The sequence below is a fragment of the Homo sapiens genome, chromosome 17 (genome assembly GCF_000001405.40).
Source record: "Homo sapiens chromosome 17, GRCh38.p14 Primary Assembly".
Classification (NCBI taxonomy): Eukaryota; Metazoa; Chordata; class Mammalia; order Primates; family Hominidae; genus Homo; species Homo sapiens.
In genome coordinates, this window is record NC_000017.11 from 80,686,108 (window position 1) to 80,701,056 (window position 14,949).

The window sequence follows — 14,949 nt, forward strand, 5'->3', positions numbered from 1 at the left end:
ACTGGTCACTGAGTCTTCCTGTGCCCAGATGTGGGGCTCAGCACTTGCTATGCATAAACTCACCTGAGCTTCATAACAACTTTTTTTTTTTTTTTTTGAGACAGAGTCTCGCTCTGTCGCCCATGCTGGAGTGCGGTGGCACGATCTCGGCTCACTGCAAGCTCCGCCTCCTGGGTTCACGCCATTCTCCTGCCTCAGCCTCCTGAGTAGCTGGGACTACAGGCGCCCGCCACCACGCCTGGCTAATTTTTTTATTTTTAGTAGAGACGGGGTTTCACCGTGTTAGCCAGGATGCATAACACCTCCTTTGAAGTAGACGCAACCATTGTTCCCAGTTCACAGATTAGAAAACTGAGACTTAAGTGCGTCACTGTCTAGTGCAGTTCTACCCTCACGACAAAGCCATGTTTCTTCCCCGTGAATGAAGAGAAAGGTAAATTTACAGTATTTGCCTTTCGGGACTCATTGGTATTCTCTCTTGAAACACTTCTTACTGCATAATTCAGAGTTCTCGGCAGCGTATCCATCTCTTAGAAAGGGCTCTTCCTGGGAAGGCTGGAAAGAAAGGCTCTCTTCTAACGAGGCCGGTGTCTCAAGCACTCCACTAAATATGAAGAGGTACTTGCTTGATTTTTACAAAATCAGCTTTGTGAGAGGATGAGTGGTCCAGCCCCTCGCCCAGCTGTGTGAGTCCTGAGCACCTGCGCTTCAGAGTAAGGCTGTTGGACCTGGGACCCTTCCATGAAATTTATTTTCAATCTTGAATGAGATTTACTTTAATGGGAGGCCTTAAAAGCAGATGCCATGCGAGTTAAAATCACACAGCTTATTGCATCTATCAGTTCCAGTCAGAGCTGATGGCAAACTCTTGTTCTTTCAGTTCAGTAACCAGAGAGTGGAATCTGTCTGTCTGTGTCTTCCATAACCAAAATACATCACCCCACGCAATGCCTCCTAATAACTGGGGCTTTGTGGTCAGGGTTTTTGCAGGGCAGGCCCCTTTTCTGCAGGCAAAGTGCTAATGGCCAGCGCCTACACTGCAGGCCTCTGGCGCATTCTCTGCCGAGAGTTCTGTCCGTCCCACTTCTCCTCACTGTCTAGTCTTCTTCTGACCCTCCCAGCCTGGTTCACGTTTGCTCTTCGTTACCCTCTTCCTGTTTCTTTCTCCTGTCTCTCCTCCCACCACACCATCCCTCACATGCACCATGGGGTGCTCCTTCAGATTGTCATCTGATCGAGCCACAGTCCCACTCAGCCCATGTTTGTCAGGACTCTGCCACTGGTCACTTGTCCACAAGGAACCACTGTCTTTGAGCTTCTTCCTCCGGTGCTCTTAGCATCTGCCCACACTGTATCTATCTGTGTCCAGGTCTTGTTTTCTGTGTCATTGTTTGATGAAAGGCAGGGACTCATTCGGTGAGTGGGTCTCCCCTGCCTCTGCCCCACACCAGCACACTGCTCTGCCCTTGGTGGGCACCCGTTGGTGTGTGTTGAGCTGGGTGTTGTACCTCGGTGTCTGCGTGGAGAAATGCGAACAGTGAGTGCCACAGCACAGCCACGGAATGGTTGTCATCGGCTTCAGAAGGGGAATGAAAGGGGCAGCACCGTGGGTGTTGATGATCTCCGAGGCTGCCTGTTTAGAGCGTCCCTTCCCTGAGATGGAGGCGTAGCTTCACCGTGTAGTGTTTAAGCTTTAAAACGTGAAATGCAGTGAGGCCGACAGTGAGTTGTAGGAAGCTCAGAAATGGGATGCCCGCACTGCCTTCAATTCACCCTCCATTGTCCATCGCCGCTGGCATACCCAGGTCAGCGCCTGCAGGCCCCTGTCTCAAAAGATGTGGCCGGCTTCTTGTCCCGGTACTGCCTGAAGCTTCACCTCAGCACCGCTAGCTTCACACTGGCCACACCCACCTCCACTCAGCAGTCTCCATGCTGTAGCCCAAAGCATGTAGTGGCGGTTGAGTACCTGAGTGGGGGAAATAATTAACTGGGATGCTTTTATTGATAAGTAGTCAGATGCCTGTTAAGTGACATTTATGAACACTCACGTAGCACTGCTGCCTGTTAGCCAGGCACTAGTCAAAGGACTTTTGATGTATTAGCTCATTTAATCTTCACAGAAACTAGAAGTTAGACACTATCCTCTCCACTCCCTTCACCCCCAGCCCCAAACACACACAATTTTATAGCCGAAGAAACGGAGGCACAAAGAAGGTGAAGACTTTGCTAAAGTCACAAAACTGGTATAAGCATGGGCTTTGTGTGTGTCCAAAGTTCATCCCTCAACCGTTTCTCTCTGGATCAATAATTAAAAGGTTTATCAAGAAGTCTGAAGGTAAATGGTTCAGTATTGTCAGGTTCTGGATAAGTTTCTCTGTGTTCTTGACTTTTCCCTCATGATGACAAGAAGGCTGCCACCACTCCAAACATCACAGCCTCACAGTTGTGCTCAAAGGGAGAAAGAAGAAGGGACGGCCGTTCTCCTTTGAGCACACTGTTTCACTGGCTTCCTGTGGGTTCCACTGGCCTGACTTGATGCCTGGGACACTTTAAGCATCTCCGGTGCTATGCGGGCTGGGAAGAAGTGAGCTGTAGAGGCAGCCAGTGTTACTCTCTGCTCCATCCCTTTTTTGTTAATTTTGCGGTTACTGTTATTTAAACTAGATGTATCTCTAGGGCAGTGGCAGGAATCGACTCCAAGGACACTGACCAGCTTGGGGCTGCTGCCTGGCCCAGGCCGGCGCATGTTGGAACACAGACTCTCTGCCCTTCCACCCCAAGCCTGGTGGGCGAGTGAGTCTGCCCAGAGGGAGTGCCTTTTTCTGCTTTACACAAGGCACCTCAAGGGGTAGAGGTGGCCTCTCCTGCAGAACGGCAGCTGCCCTGTTGCCGTTCTGATAAATTGCAAGATAAAACTGAAGTGCAAGGAAGGGGCATTTTTGATTTTGGATATGACTTTGCCTAAAAATGGCACCTTAAGGTGTTTTAAACATTTATCAAACGGTTTCATATGTATGGAGTATGTCTGTGCAGCATTCTTAAAGTGACAGGACTACCTTATGAAGTCAGTAAATCCTTTCATCTCCCCAGACAGCCAGAAGCTAGTCAGCAGATGAACACATTCACTTGTATGTTCCCCTTGGCAACATTATTCCTAGAGAGGTTGCATCTGCATCTTGGAGTCCGCATGATAAATCATTTATGTACTCACAGAAACCATGCACTCCCCCGTGGGAAGAGTTCTAGGTGTAGCAGGGGCGGAGGACGCCACCTGCTCCCTGACATCCGTCTTTCCGAAGCCATCGCTGGAGCCCTCTGCTGAGTGTGGGCAGTGAGGCCTCGTCTTACGCATGTGGTCAGAGGAGATAATGTGGCTAGAAGTGCTTTGTAAGCGCCAAGGATTGCTGTTATGAGGAATTTACTAGATTTCAGGCTTTCATCAGATAGTTAGCGAGGAAGCGCAAAAGCACAGCATGGTCTCCATGTTTGCTGACCTGCAGCGAAAAGTCAGAAAGCTAATTGGAGGCCATTCATAGGCTGATTCTACCTTACACCATCATTATACTTTTTGTCTATAAGACTGGAGAAGATCTTTCTGAGACATATCACTATCAGTGTTTTACGCGTATGAAACATATTTTTCTTTCCTTCTTTATGTTCATTTTTAAAATTTTTGATCAGTGCCCTCAAGCATTCTCCTATTCAATAGAAAACATATTTTTCTAGGTATGATAATCTTTCAGATTTTTGGTATGTGTACCTTTGCTAAAAACACATTTAATATTTCTACCTGTCTGGACACCTTTTAAAAATGTCTGGCTGCACCTTGGAGAAACGCTTCATGCAAGCAGATTCTAATTAAAGTAGGAAACTTTACTTTACCATTAAGTTATATGTAAAAGCATTCTAGGGGAGAGTCTTTTAATCATTGAAACATTTTCAAACGTGTTTGCTCATTTGCTTCTTTATTTGTTTTTATGGCTTATTCATTTGTTTATTTTTAAACTTTTTATTATGAAAAATTTCAACATATACCCATCATCTATCTTCAGTCATTTTCAGCTGCCAGTTCCAGTCTCCTTTCATCTGTGCCCCCACCCAGTCCCCCCTTCCCACTCCCCTGGCTGATTAGGAAGCAAATCCCAGACTTCATGTAATTTCACCTGTCAATATTTCTGAAAGAAATATTTACTTTCTCTAAAGATAAGTATGCTTCTAAACACACACACACACATACACACACACACAATGTTTGTTTGAATCAGGATGCAAGTGAGATGAATGTATTGTGAGTTACTTCATCTATTCTGTTAATCCATGTAATTAATCCAAAAGTCAGTCCCTCACCCCAGCACTCTCTGTGCACCTGTCTGCCTGTCTCTTTCTGCAGTTGATTGGTTGAAGAAACTGGATCATGTAGCCTGTAGAATTTATCGTGGTCTCGATCTCGTCAGTGGCTTCTCCCCCCTTGCCCTGGGTGAGCCACACTCACCTCTGCTCCTTGGATTTCCTCTCGGTGGTGGACACAGCCGGGCTCCCCTAGATTCTGGTTCAGTCAGGGAATGTTTCATGTGTGGTGCTGTGTCCTTACTTTAGGATATCTGATAGTCCCTCTGTGATATTAGCAGCTATTGATGATCATTGTCTGGATCTATTTATTAGAGATTATGAAAAGATGGTGTTATTGTTTCATTCCTTTTTTTGCAACAGGGGATCTCACTTGGCCACCCAGGCTGGAGTGCAGTGGCGCAAACATGGCTCACTGGAGCCTCAAATTCTCGGGCCCAAGTGATCCTCCCACCTGAGACTTCCAAGTAGCTGGGACCACAGGCACATGACACTATGCCTTGCTAATTTTTAAATGTCTTGTAGAAACAGGGTTTTGCTATGTTGCCCAGACTGGTTTTTAATTCCTGGCCTCAAGCAATCTTCCTGCCTCAGCTTCCCAAAGTGCTGGGGTTACAGATACGAGCCACTGTGCTTAGCTGTCCTTATTTGTTAACTGGAGTATCTCTATATAAAGAAACCCTCTCATCAATTATTTGGATAGCTCAAGGTACAGTCATAGAGGAAAGCCAGCATCAATACTTACTTTCCTTTATTAACCAGTTTTCAAAATCGTGTGTGGGCTTCTCTCAAAGGTGACTAGTAAGGGGTGTGTGGGTGTGATATGTGTGTGTGCATGTCGTGTGTGTGTGCATGCACGTGTGTGCATGCATAGGTATGTGTGTGGTGTGGTGTGTGTGGCCACCCTGTTGAAGGCACTACCTACTGTATTCGTTTCTCACTGCATCTCTCAAAGGTGACTAGTGTGGGGGTGTGTGTGGATGTGAGTGATGTGTGTGTGTGCACGCATGTCAGTGTGTGCGCATAGGTGTGTGTGGTGTGGCGTGTGTGGCCACCCTATTGAATGCATGACTTACTCTATTCGTTCTTCACCGATGTCCACGTCGTTCCATCTTTGTGTTGGCCCCTGAGCCTTGTGATGCAGTTCTCGCGGTCCTCAATTGCTTCATTTTGATATGGTATGACAAGCCAGCATGTTCTGTGCCATTTTGTACTTCTTCTACCCTAGGCCTGAAATCAGCCACGTGTCTGTCTCCAGGGAGTCTTGGTTTCCTTCCATGGGAAGTGGTATGGAGAGCTTAATCTGGGCTCCAGGGCTGCTCATTGACCCTTGTTCAGCCCCCTTTCTCTATGGGTGTTTCAAAGATAAAATACGAAGGCGCTCTTACACATCCAGGTTCAGGTCTGCAAGGTCTGCTTACTCTCATGGGTCCTACAGCTGTATCTGCTTCTTTCCACATGGAGTGCTCAGATTGTTCATGAACACCAACGTAATTACCCATTCTCTTATCCTGCACCACACCTGGCAGTTTCAGAAAGCAACACCAGCACTGCCACTGACGCGGTTACTGAGAGCCGCTGCCGAGGCATAGCCGCTGCTGAGGCACTCGCCCTTCCTTCTCAGGTTAGGCACAGATGTCGAGTGACATTACCCTGTATTTTTATTTATTTATTTTTGAGACAGGCTCTCACTGTGGCCCAGGCTGGAGTACAGTAGCAGAATCATAGTTCACTGCAGCCTCAACCTCCTGGGCTCAAGCCATCCTCCCACCTCAGCCTCTCAAGTAGCCAAGACTATAGGTGCACGCCACCATGTCTGGCTACGTTATGTTATGTTATGTTATGTTATGTTATGTTATGTTATGTTATGTTATGTTATTTTTTTGAGATGGAGTCTTACTCTGTTATCCAGGCTGGAGCGCAGTGGCATGATCTCGGCTCACCGCAACCTCCACCTCCCAGGTTCAAGCGATTCTCCTGCCTCAGCCTCCCAAGTAGCTGGGATTACAGGCACATGCCACCATGCCCAGCTAATTTTGTATTTTCAGTAGAGATGGGGTTTCTCCATGTTGGTCAGGCTGGTCTTGAACTCCTGACCTCAGGTGATCCACCTGCCTTGGCCTCCCAAAGTGCTAGGATTACAGGCGTGAGCCACCGTGCCTGGCCTAATTTATTTATTTATATTTTTAGTAGTGATGAAGTCTTCCTATGTTGCCCAGGCTGGTCTTGAACTCCTGGCCTCAAGTGATCCTCCTGCCTCAGCCTCCCAAAGTGTTAGGATTATAGGCATGAGCCACTGTGCCTGGCTGGATTACTTTTTAAAAAAATTAATTTTGCTTTGTAGTTATGTAAAATATTTCATGAGTCCAAAGTTAAATACACAAAATGAAGTTTATTGAAAGGAGCCTGGCTGCTCTTCCTGTCCTGGTGAGCCTATTTTATCTTTTCTTCTGTAGGTCACCACTGAAATGTTTTAATAATATGTGTACCACATGTGATGACACGTATGCGTAACCTTGGGTACATTTATATACGCACACACGCACACAGTGTTTTCTCTTTAGGGAAGTGCTGTATGTTGTACATGGTTTCTTCTACCTTGCTTCTTGTTGCTGTATTAGACTGGAATCCACGTGTCCTCATTGGAATCAAAGCTTCATTGTTTCCTCTAAAGCAGAGTTTCTCCAGCTTGGCCCGATTGGCATTTGGATCAGCTAATTCATGATTGTGGTGGTCGTGTGCTCATGTGCTGTGCGGACAGTCACAGGATGTGTAGCAGGTCCCCAGGCCATTGCCATCAGATGCCAGCAGGGCCCACTTCTCCCAGCAGTGCCGACCGAGCCTGTCTGCAGACAACACCAGTGCCCCCGAGGGCAGAGTTGCTCCCAGCGGAGATGGTGTTTCTCGGGTTCATTGGGGGGATTCTGAGCACCCATTTCAGAAGTGGATTTGGCCCCATCTGGAAGCAATAGCTTTTCTTTTTGGACTTTGAATAATAAACCAGCTATTCTAGTTCTTGTCTGCCTCTTCTGCAAATTAAGGAAGGAAGGAAGAATTGTTACTGAATAATACATAAAGGAAAGAGTCGATGATTTTACAAATTTCACGTAACTCTGCCCTTACTGGGCAGACACGTGTTGAGAACATTACGAGTTACTGTGACCTTGTAGTCCCTTTGGGTTCGGTGTACGCAATTTCCTACTCTCAGCATCTGCCAGCCCAGACTCTGGCAGACTTATGCCAGCCCTGGGTGCTGTAGGGTCAGCCACCCCCTTCCACGCAGGGTGGGCGTCCAGATGGTGCTGTGGGAAACAGCGTTTTGCCAGGGGCCAGAGAGCTGACTCAGATAGTGACCTGGAAAACAGACTGTGGATCAGGTGGGCACGGGCCTGGAACAGGGTCCCTGAAACACCCAGCAAGAGGCTGGGGAATGTCTGGAGAGCCCGGCATGGTCCGGAGCGTCCACGCAGCCAGCAGCTCACATCCTCTTGCTCCTGGCGGCCGATGCTCTGCGCAGAAACGGGCTTGGTCTGAACGGAGAGGGACATTGTGAACTTGAAATGAAATCTGACAAGAAATTAGAAATTTCTTCAGAAAGTAAAGAGCGCTGTCAAGAATGCGAGCTGAAGATTTGCGTTTACAGCTGTAGAGCAAATACAGGCGGCTCTGACATCTCAGCTTTTGTTTGCCACTGCTGCAGCCTCAGGTGCCTCATCTGGGGCTTCATTCAGAGTGGGTGGGGAGGCGACAGGTCGAGGCAGTTGCCCCGTGCTCACGAATCCCTGACACAGCTGGTGACCTCTCCAGGTGACCTCTTCAAGCCTGGTCCCAGGGGCAGGCATGCCCGGGCATGGCCCTCGCAGATGGCTTTGCTGGCCTGGTCTGGCAACCGTTGAATAAATACTGATTTCCCACCCAGGTGAGGCGCATGGTAGATGTTTGTTCTGTGCATTGCGTTGGTCGGCCTCCACAGTCGCACAATCTCTCAGTGGAGTGAGAGTGTCTTCCATATGTGGGGCCGTGGTGCTGAAGGCTTGTGCGTTGAGTGCCTCCTTTCCCGTGAATGTGTTGGTTCTGGTGACCAGGGTGGAGCCTCCCTGCGCCCCTTCCTTCCATCCAGCATCAGGTTCCCAGTTCTCTGCCTGCCAGGCAGGCGTGCACATATGGAGTGTCTGGGAACCTGCAGCTGTTGATCACGGCTGGTGGTAGCTCCGCACTTAAGTAAGGAGGAGTGATTTTCCCGAGGAGATGTGGTATTGGTCGGAGTTGCTGGGAAATCAGCAGCACTGAGTGATCAGGTTGTCGTGAGCTCCTGCCTCCATCCACCCCATTCTGGCGGTTCCTGGCTTCACTGCCTCTTGAAGACAGCCTCTCTGGCACTCATGGGCATGTTGGCCTTCTCGAGGGGAAGGGGTTGAGTAACTCATGGCCTGTTAGTGTGTGCCAGAGACTCAGCACCACGGGCAGACACAGTGCCACGGGCAGCTATATCCAAGGAGGGTGAGGGTGCTCCCCAGAAGCCTCTGGGCCTCCGTGGGTGTCATCAGGGTAGTGAGCAGGAAGCCTGGGGGCTGAGCTGGGCTGCCTGGCTTTGACATGGGCCTGTGCGGGGCTGGCTGTGTGGCCCCGTGAGGGTTACTGAACCTCTCTGTGCCCAGCCTCCTGTTTGTGAGGCAGGAGCGATGGCAGTGCCCACTGCATGGTGGTAAGAGTGAGGCGGGTAGAATGCATGTGCCCAAGACAGAGGCTGCCCCGACCCGTGCTGTGCGGGTCACTCACCCCCACATTGTCTGCCACGGGGGCCCGAGCATTTCCACACGAGACTTTCACATCAGCCACCCGGGCAGGGCCCGCGTTAGTTTAGTTGTTTGTGGAGGAGAAAATTGAGGTTTGGTTTTGTTCATGACGTTGCCAGGTCGAATGGCTGGTGAATCATTGATTTGGGGCTGAGACTTAAGTTTCCCATCTCTGGGCGGGACCTGTGCTCTCTCCCTGTAACAGTGGCCTCTGTTACAGAGGGGCAGGTGGGTGGCTCACGTGTGGGCTCACCTGCGTCACTTCTCTCCAGCTCACCTCCACTGCGAGAGTGCCTGGGGATGCCTGCCAGCCACCCAGAGCCAGCGTCTTCCCAAGCAGCTGTTTTACAGGAAACAAAGCAGGATGACCTTGGGCTTCCTAGTCTCTGCACGTTACCCCGAATTCCAGAATAATCGTGAGAAGGAGCCAGTGGAGTGGTGTGACTTTTGTATTTATAGACTTCTTCCAAAGGTCACCTCTTTTATTTCTGAAAAACAAGTCGCTTGAGGCCCATCTTTACAGAGTGACAGGAGCTCAGGATGCAGAGGCACCAAGGCCAGGGAGGAGCGTTGGGGGTGGCTGGAGCTGGTGGGCCAAGGGCCGCAGACCACTTTTGCCCTGCATGGCCTCGTGGCTGCCTTTTCTACCTGCGTGAGCTGGCTTTGATCTACCCCGGACCCATCTTTCTGTGAAGAGTTTGCAGAGGATGCTGGTTACATCTTAGATGGAAATTGGCCGTGTCTCTGCTGTTTCTGAGTGTGCGACTCTCAGAGCCAAGGTGGCATCTGGCGACTGGCCTTGTTCTTGTGAGTCCCTGTAGGGCAGGATAGATTTTTCCGGCAGGGCTGCAGCCTGGAGTTCAGGCTTCCTCTCCCTTTTAAATTTCAAAGACTCAGGGTTCCATTTAAACAGACAAGATAAGTGGCAGCTTTGTTTTGTTTTGTTTTTTCATTAAGAGATTTTGGAGGGGGAGGAAACCAGCCTTACAGTGATAGCATCAGGAAAAGATTACACAGAATGGCATCTTATTATGAAATATTGAAAACATTTAAAGAGCAAATAAAATATGCAAATAGAGTGGGACAGAATTTGTACTGCACAGCCTCTTGCCCTACATCTTTCCCAATAAAAATTTAACTCTGAGGTCCATGTTGGGACAAAAAAAATGATACTGGGATAGTGGAGCTCGGCTTTCGTTAGTTCAAAGCGAGCAGCATATTAATCCAAGTAAGCAGAATTCCCATGTAGATTCATTCCACAGCCTTTTCTTGGGTGACGACTCTGTGCCCAGAAGCAAGGGGCTGACTGGGACCTGAGAGGCCTCTTCTTAGTGGCCATGGCCTCCCGGGGCAAGGCCGGCTGGTGCGTCAGAGCCTGGATCTCTGCAGTGGGCGCAGAAGGGACACAGGAATTTTCTCTTGGCCTCTTTGCTGGACTTGCAGCAGGGATGCCGCCGAACTCAGCCGTTTGCAGGCGGGAGCACGTGAGTGAGCGAGTGTGGGATCCAGCCAGCCCCCCCAAGCACCAATACAGGAGCAAACTCCATGCGGGGCCCACAGCCAGACCAGGTGTGTCACCTTGAGGGGAACACGGTGGCACCCAGGCAAGGGTGCCCATGACCCTGAAGCCCCAGAGTGGGTGTTAGTGTGCTCATTAGCTCTTTTAGTTCTTCCATCCACAGTCCAACAGATGGTGGCATGTTAGCAGCTCCGTCGCCCCCTGGCCCCATCACGTAGGGTGGCTGCCCTCTGCCAGCAGGAGCAAAGGGCTAGTGTGACAGTCTTTCTGGTACCAGCACTTGGTGGGTCCTGAGCTCTTGTCCAGCATCCAAGCAGAATGCAGATGTGCCTACAGTCAGAGAGTGAGCAAGGTGAGGGGTTTTACTGAGTGATGAAAGAGCTTTCTGCAGAGAGGGGACATGGGGGCGGTCCCCCCACCCGAAGGTGGGAAAATCCCTCCAGTGTGTCTTAGTCTGGGGCTTTTGTGGGCTCAGAATAGGGGAGGGGCAGGCTGTAGGTAGTATTGGAAAAGGCAACATTTGATTGGTTAAAAGGCATTATTCAGAAAGAATCAATTGGGAAAGGGTGGGCAAACGGGAATAGGAGTTTTGCTCTGGGTCTTGGGTTTTATCCAGGACCTGCCGTCTGGTCTTTCAGCCTTCAGGCTGTTATTTGGCTTGGAGGTAGGTTTCACCAGGGACCTGCCCCTGTCTGCCTAGGCATTTGACTACCTCCCATCGGTATCAGAAGCACCTTGTGAGCCCCAGGGAGCTGGTGAGGACCTTGTAAGGGAGGAGGAGGGCGGCGTGATAGGTGCAGGTGGCGGCGTGATAGGTGCAGGTGGCACCGTGCACAGCCACGTCAGGGACTTGGGAACGTCTGGGCCAAGGAGCCACCTTGTGCAGAGGCATGGAGTCATGAGAGATTAGCCACGGTGGGAACGTGGTGAGGACACTGGGCTGAGCAGAGGGCTCGCAGGTGGTGCTGGGCAGGGAGCCTGTTGACCCACCCACAGAGGGTTTGTCTCAGGGGCCGGTGGCCTGACTGCTGTGCGTTAAGGAGGAAGGCTCTGACAGAATGGGGGGACTTGGAGAGGGGTCATTTTGGAGGCCTGAAGGTGGTTGGGGTGTTTGACTCCCATGAAGGCAGAGGTGGTACAGCGAAGTCAGAGGGACACATTCCTGTGACCCACTGGGCACCAGGGAGATGGCAGGAGCAGGAGCTGAGGGTAGTGGTGAGGTTTCTGCTGGCAGAGTTTGGTGGTTGAGTTTCTGCTGGCTGATTTGGTGGGGCCAGCGAGTAGACAAGGATCCCAGACGGGTGGGTGCGGGGCAAGGTGGGGAATTTGACCAGATTTCTCTTGAAGGTGCCCTATGGGGAAACGGTGTTGTGAAAGTAGGAGGGTGAGGAACGGAGGCGACTGAGGGTCCACAGAGGAGGATGGGCCAGAGGCAGAGGTGACAGGCCAGGTAGGCCGAGTGAGCAGGGGAGCCACGTGAGGCCAGTGCGGGCGCACCAGGCACTGGGCCCCATGCAGAGGGGCTGCCGCCCCACCCCCACCCAGGCCTCACTGACTCCTGTGGGAGCCATCTAGGTACAGCAACCACGTGGAGGATAGCGTGAAAAGTGACGGGACGGAGCAAAGAAAGACACCAGCTCCTCGTTTGCAGAGGTTTCTGCACCGTTGTCACCAGCATGTGGTCATGGCCTGCTCCCCGGGGGCCATTCCAGCCATTGATCCACATTGTCCTCCAGCCAAAGGAAACAAAGCGGGAAGTGGAAAGAGCTGGAGTTACGTGGGGGCACCTTCCATCCTAGGCCGGCAGCTGGTCAACCTCCTCAGCCTCGTCACCGTTTAACATCCTCCCTTTTGTTCTTTTCTCCTTAATCTTTATGTTTGGAAAGATTTCTATAGACAAATGTGCCGCTGCTTCTCCATAGCCTTATCTGGAACAAAGGAAATGTCTTTTATTACCATTCATGCAGGTATAATCCGTGAAAGACAAGCCTGTTCTGCCAGTCACCAAGTCAGTCCTTTTCCTTCTGTCTTGCTCATGGAAGGCTGTCCCGGCCCTCACCTGACTAGTGGTGCAGCTCTTCAGGGGGTAGTGCCCATCCAATTCCTGGGGAAACCCAGGCGAGCCTGCTGGCCAGGAAGCGCCAGCTTGTGTCTGATTGCTAGGTTACCCTGGGTGCTTCCTGGATGTTCAGGCGCCCGTGATTCCCCCAGCATCTGCCTCGAGCTTATGTGCATGGAGCAGCAGATCCCTTTGTCTGGGCAGTTAGATTGTCTGCTAAGGAAAGTGGGTGTTGGAGCAAAAGCCTTGCTTCACTGCTGTACTCCAACCCATCAAAATGGAATTGTTTAAAATGCCCTCAAAATAAAAATAGAGACCCCAAGCTCTTGATAAAACAGCTTTCTCTGGAGAAGCTCATCGGGCTGTGTAAACTCCAATAGGAAGTATTTATTCATCATTTGTATGTGCACAAATATTTATTTAATGTCAACTGTGAAGGCTGATGAGTAAATCAGCAGGTAGAGTCCAGTACCCTGGTGCAGTGATGGGGAGCTAGAGGTGCTGTGCACAGTACCCTGGTGCAGTGATGGGGAGCTAGAGGTGCTATGCACAGTACCCTGGTGCAGTGATGGGGAGCTAGAGGTGCTATGCACAGTGCCCTGGTGCAGTGATGGGGAGCAAGAGGTGCTATGCACGGTACCCTGGTGCAGTGATGGGGAGCTAGAGGTGCTGTGCACGGTACCCTGGTGCAGTGATGGGGAGCTAGAGGTGCTGTGCACGGTGCCCTGGTGCAGTGATGGGGAGCTAGAGGTGCTGTGCACAGTACCCTGGTGCAGTGATGGGGAGCTAGAGGTGCTGTGCACGGTACCCTGGTGCAGTGATGGGGAGCTAGAGGTGCTGTGCACGGTGCCCTGGTGCAGTGATGGGGAGCTAGAGGTGCTGTGCACGGTGCCCTGGTGCAGTGATGGGGAGCTAGAGGTGCTGTGCACGGTGCCCTGGTGCAGTGATGGGGAGCAAGAGGTGCTGTGCACGGTACCCTGGTGCAGTGATGGGGAGCTAGAGGTGCTGTGCACGGTACCCTGGTACAGTGATGGGGAGCTAGAGGTGCTACGCACAGTACCCTGGTGCAGTGATGGGGAGCTAGAGGTGCTATGCAGCCTTTGGCATGGCTTCCTATCCAGTGTCTGGAAGAGCATCCAAGAAGGATGCTTTCAACATGATAAAAGACAAGGGACATTTAACATGATACTTGAAGAATGAATAGAAAATGACCAGGCAAGACTTGGAATAGGACATGGAGAAAAGGTAGGAAGAAGGTTCTGGGCAGAAGGCTGGAAAGTAGGTTAGAACATAATGAGGCAAAAGGCTTAAAAGATCCTTTCTTGTGGCTGAAGTGTAGACTCTCAGAGATTATGTCTAGTGATCAGGCTGGAGATCTTGCAGGGACTCGTAGGTCTTTCTAAAGAGTTTTCAAAGTTAGTGGGAAGACATCAAAGGTTTCTAAGCGGGAGAAGGACCTATTGAGTTTTGGAGAATGGATTTGGAGTGAAACAAGGCTGGAGGATAAGTTGGGAAGTTACTCCAATGATCTAAGAAATAGATAAGTGGTGGTGGTGATGGTGGTAGTGGTGGTGATGGTGGTGGTGGTGATGGTGATGGTGGTGGTTATGATGGTGGTGGTGGTGATGGTGGTGGTGGTGGTGGTGGTGATGATGGTGGTGGTGATGGTAGAGATGATGGTGATGGTGATGGTGGTGGTGGTGGTGGTGATGATGATGGTGGTGGTGATGGTAGAGATGATGGTGATGGTGATGATGGAAGTGGTGGTGATGGTGATGATGGTGATGGTGGTGGTGGTGGCGGCGATGATGGTGGTGGTGATGGTAGAGATGATGGTGATGGTGATGATGGAGGTGGTGGTGATGGTGATGGTGGTGGTGATGGTGGTGGTGGTGGTGGTGATGATGGTGGTGGTGGTGGTGGTGATGATGGTGATGGTGATGGTAGAGATGATGATGGTGGTGGTGGTGATGATGATGGTGGTGATGGTGATGGTGGTGGTGGTGGTGATGGTAGAGATGATGGTGGTGGTAGTGGTGGTTTGGTAGTGGCTTGACCTGGGTATTGATAGCACGGATAGAAAGAGGTGGATGGACTCAGTCAGGATTGAAGAGGTAGACTCAACAGGATGCAATGATTGATGACATAAAAATGGAAAGGGTGAAAGACAAGAAGGTGTCAAGGGTGATTCTTGGGTTTCTGTTGTCCAGCTGGGTGATTCTCAGGTT

General features: G+C 50.6%; 1 protein-coding gene across 2 annotated transcripts in view, besides 4 other annotated features; it reads left to right on the forward strand.

The window, feature by feature from the left end:
- RPTOR (regulatory associated protein of MTOR complex 1) overlaps positions 1–14,949 on the forward strand; it is a 421,531-nt gene that overhangs the window by 141,270 nt on the left and 265,312 nt on the right. The window lies entirely within an intron of this gene.
- Positions 7,598–8,797: an enhancer, noted in NCBI's record as "MED14-independent group 3 enhancer chr17:78667505-78668704 (GRCh37/hg19 assembly coordinates)". NCBI's record gives its function as "activates an origin of replication core promoter dependent on BRD2, BRD4, P300/CBP and CDK7 cofactors, and independent of MED14, by STARR-seq in HCT116 cells {active_cell/tissue: HCT116}" and the evidence as "EXISTENCE:reporter gene assay evidence [ECO:0000049][PMID:35650434]".
- Positions 8,066–8,683: an enhancer, noted in NCBI's record as "NANOG-H3K27ac-H3K4me1 hESC enhancer chr17:78667973-78668590 (GRCh37/hg19 assembly coordinates)". NCBI's record gives its function as "activates a minimal SCP1, AML or CMV promoter by ChIP-STARR-seq in naive and primed H9 embryonic stem cells {active_cell/tissue: H9 hESC(naive and primed)}" and the evidence as "EXISTENCE:reporter gene assay evidence [ECO:0000049][PMID:30033119]".
- Positions 10,620–11,147: an enhancer, noted in NCBI's record as "H3K27ac-H3K4me1 hESC enhancer chr17:78670527-78671054 (GRCh37/hg19 assembly coordinates)". NCBI's record gives its function as "activates a minimal SCP1, AML or CMV promoter by ChIP-STARR-seq in primed H9 embryonic stem cells {active_cell/tissue: H9 hESC(primed)}" and the evidence as "EXISTENCE:reporter gene assay evidence [ECO:0000049][PMID:30033119]".
- Positions 12,242–12,536: a silencer, noted in NCBI's record as "tiled region #1160; K562 Repressive non-DNase unmatched - State 19:H4K20". NCBI's record gives its function as "represses a minimal TATA promoter and a strong SV40 promoter by Sharpr-MPRA in K562 cells {active_cell/tissue: K562}" and the evidence as "EXISTENCE:reporter gene assay evidence [ECO:0000049][PMID:27701403]".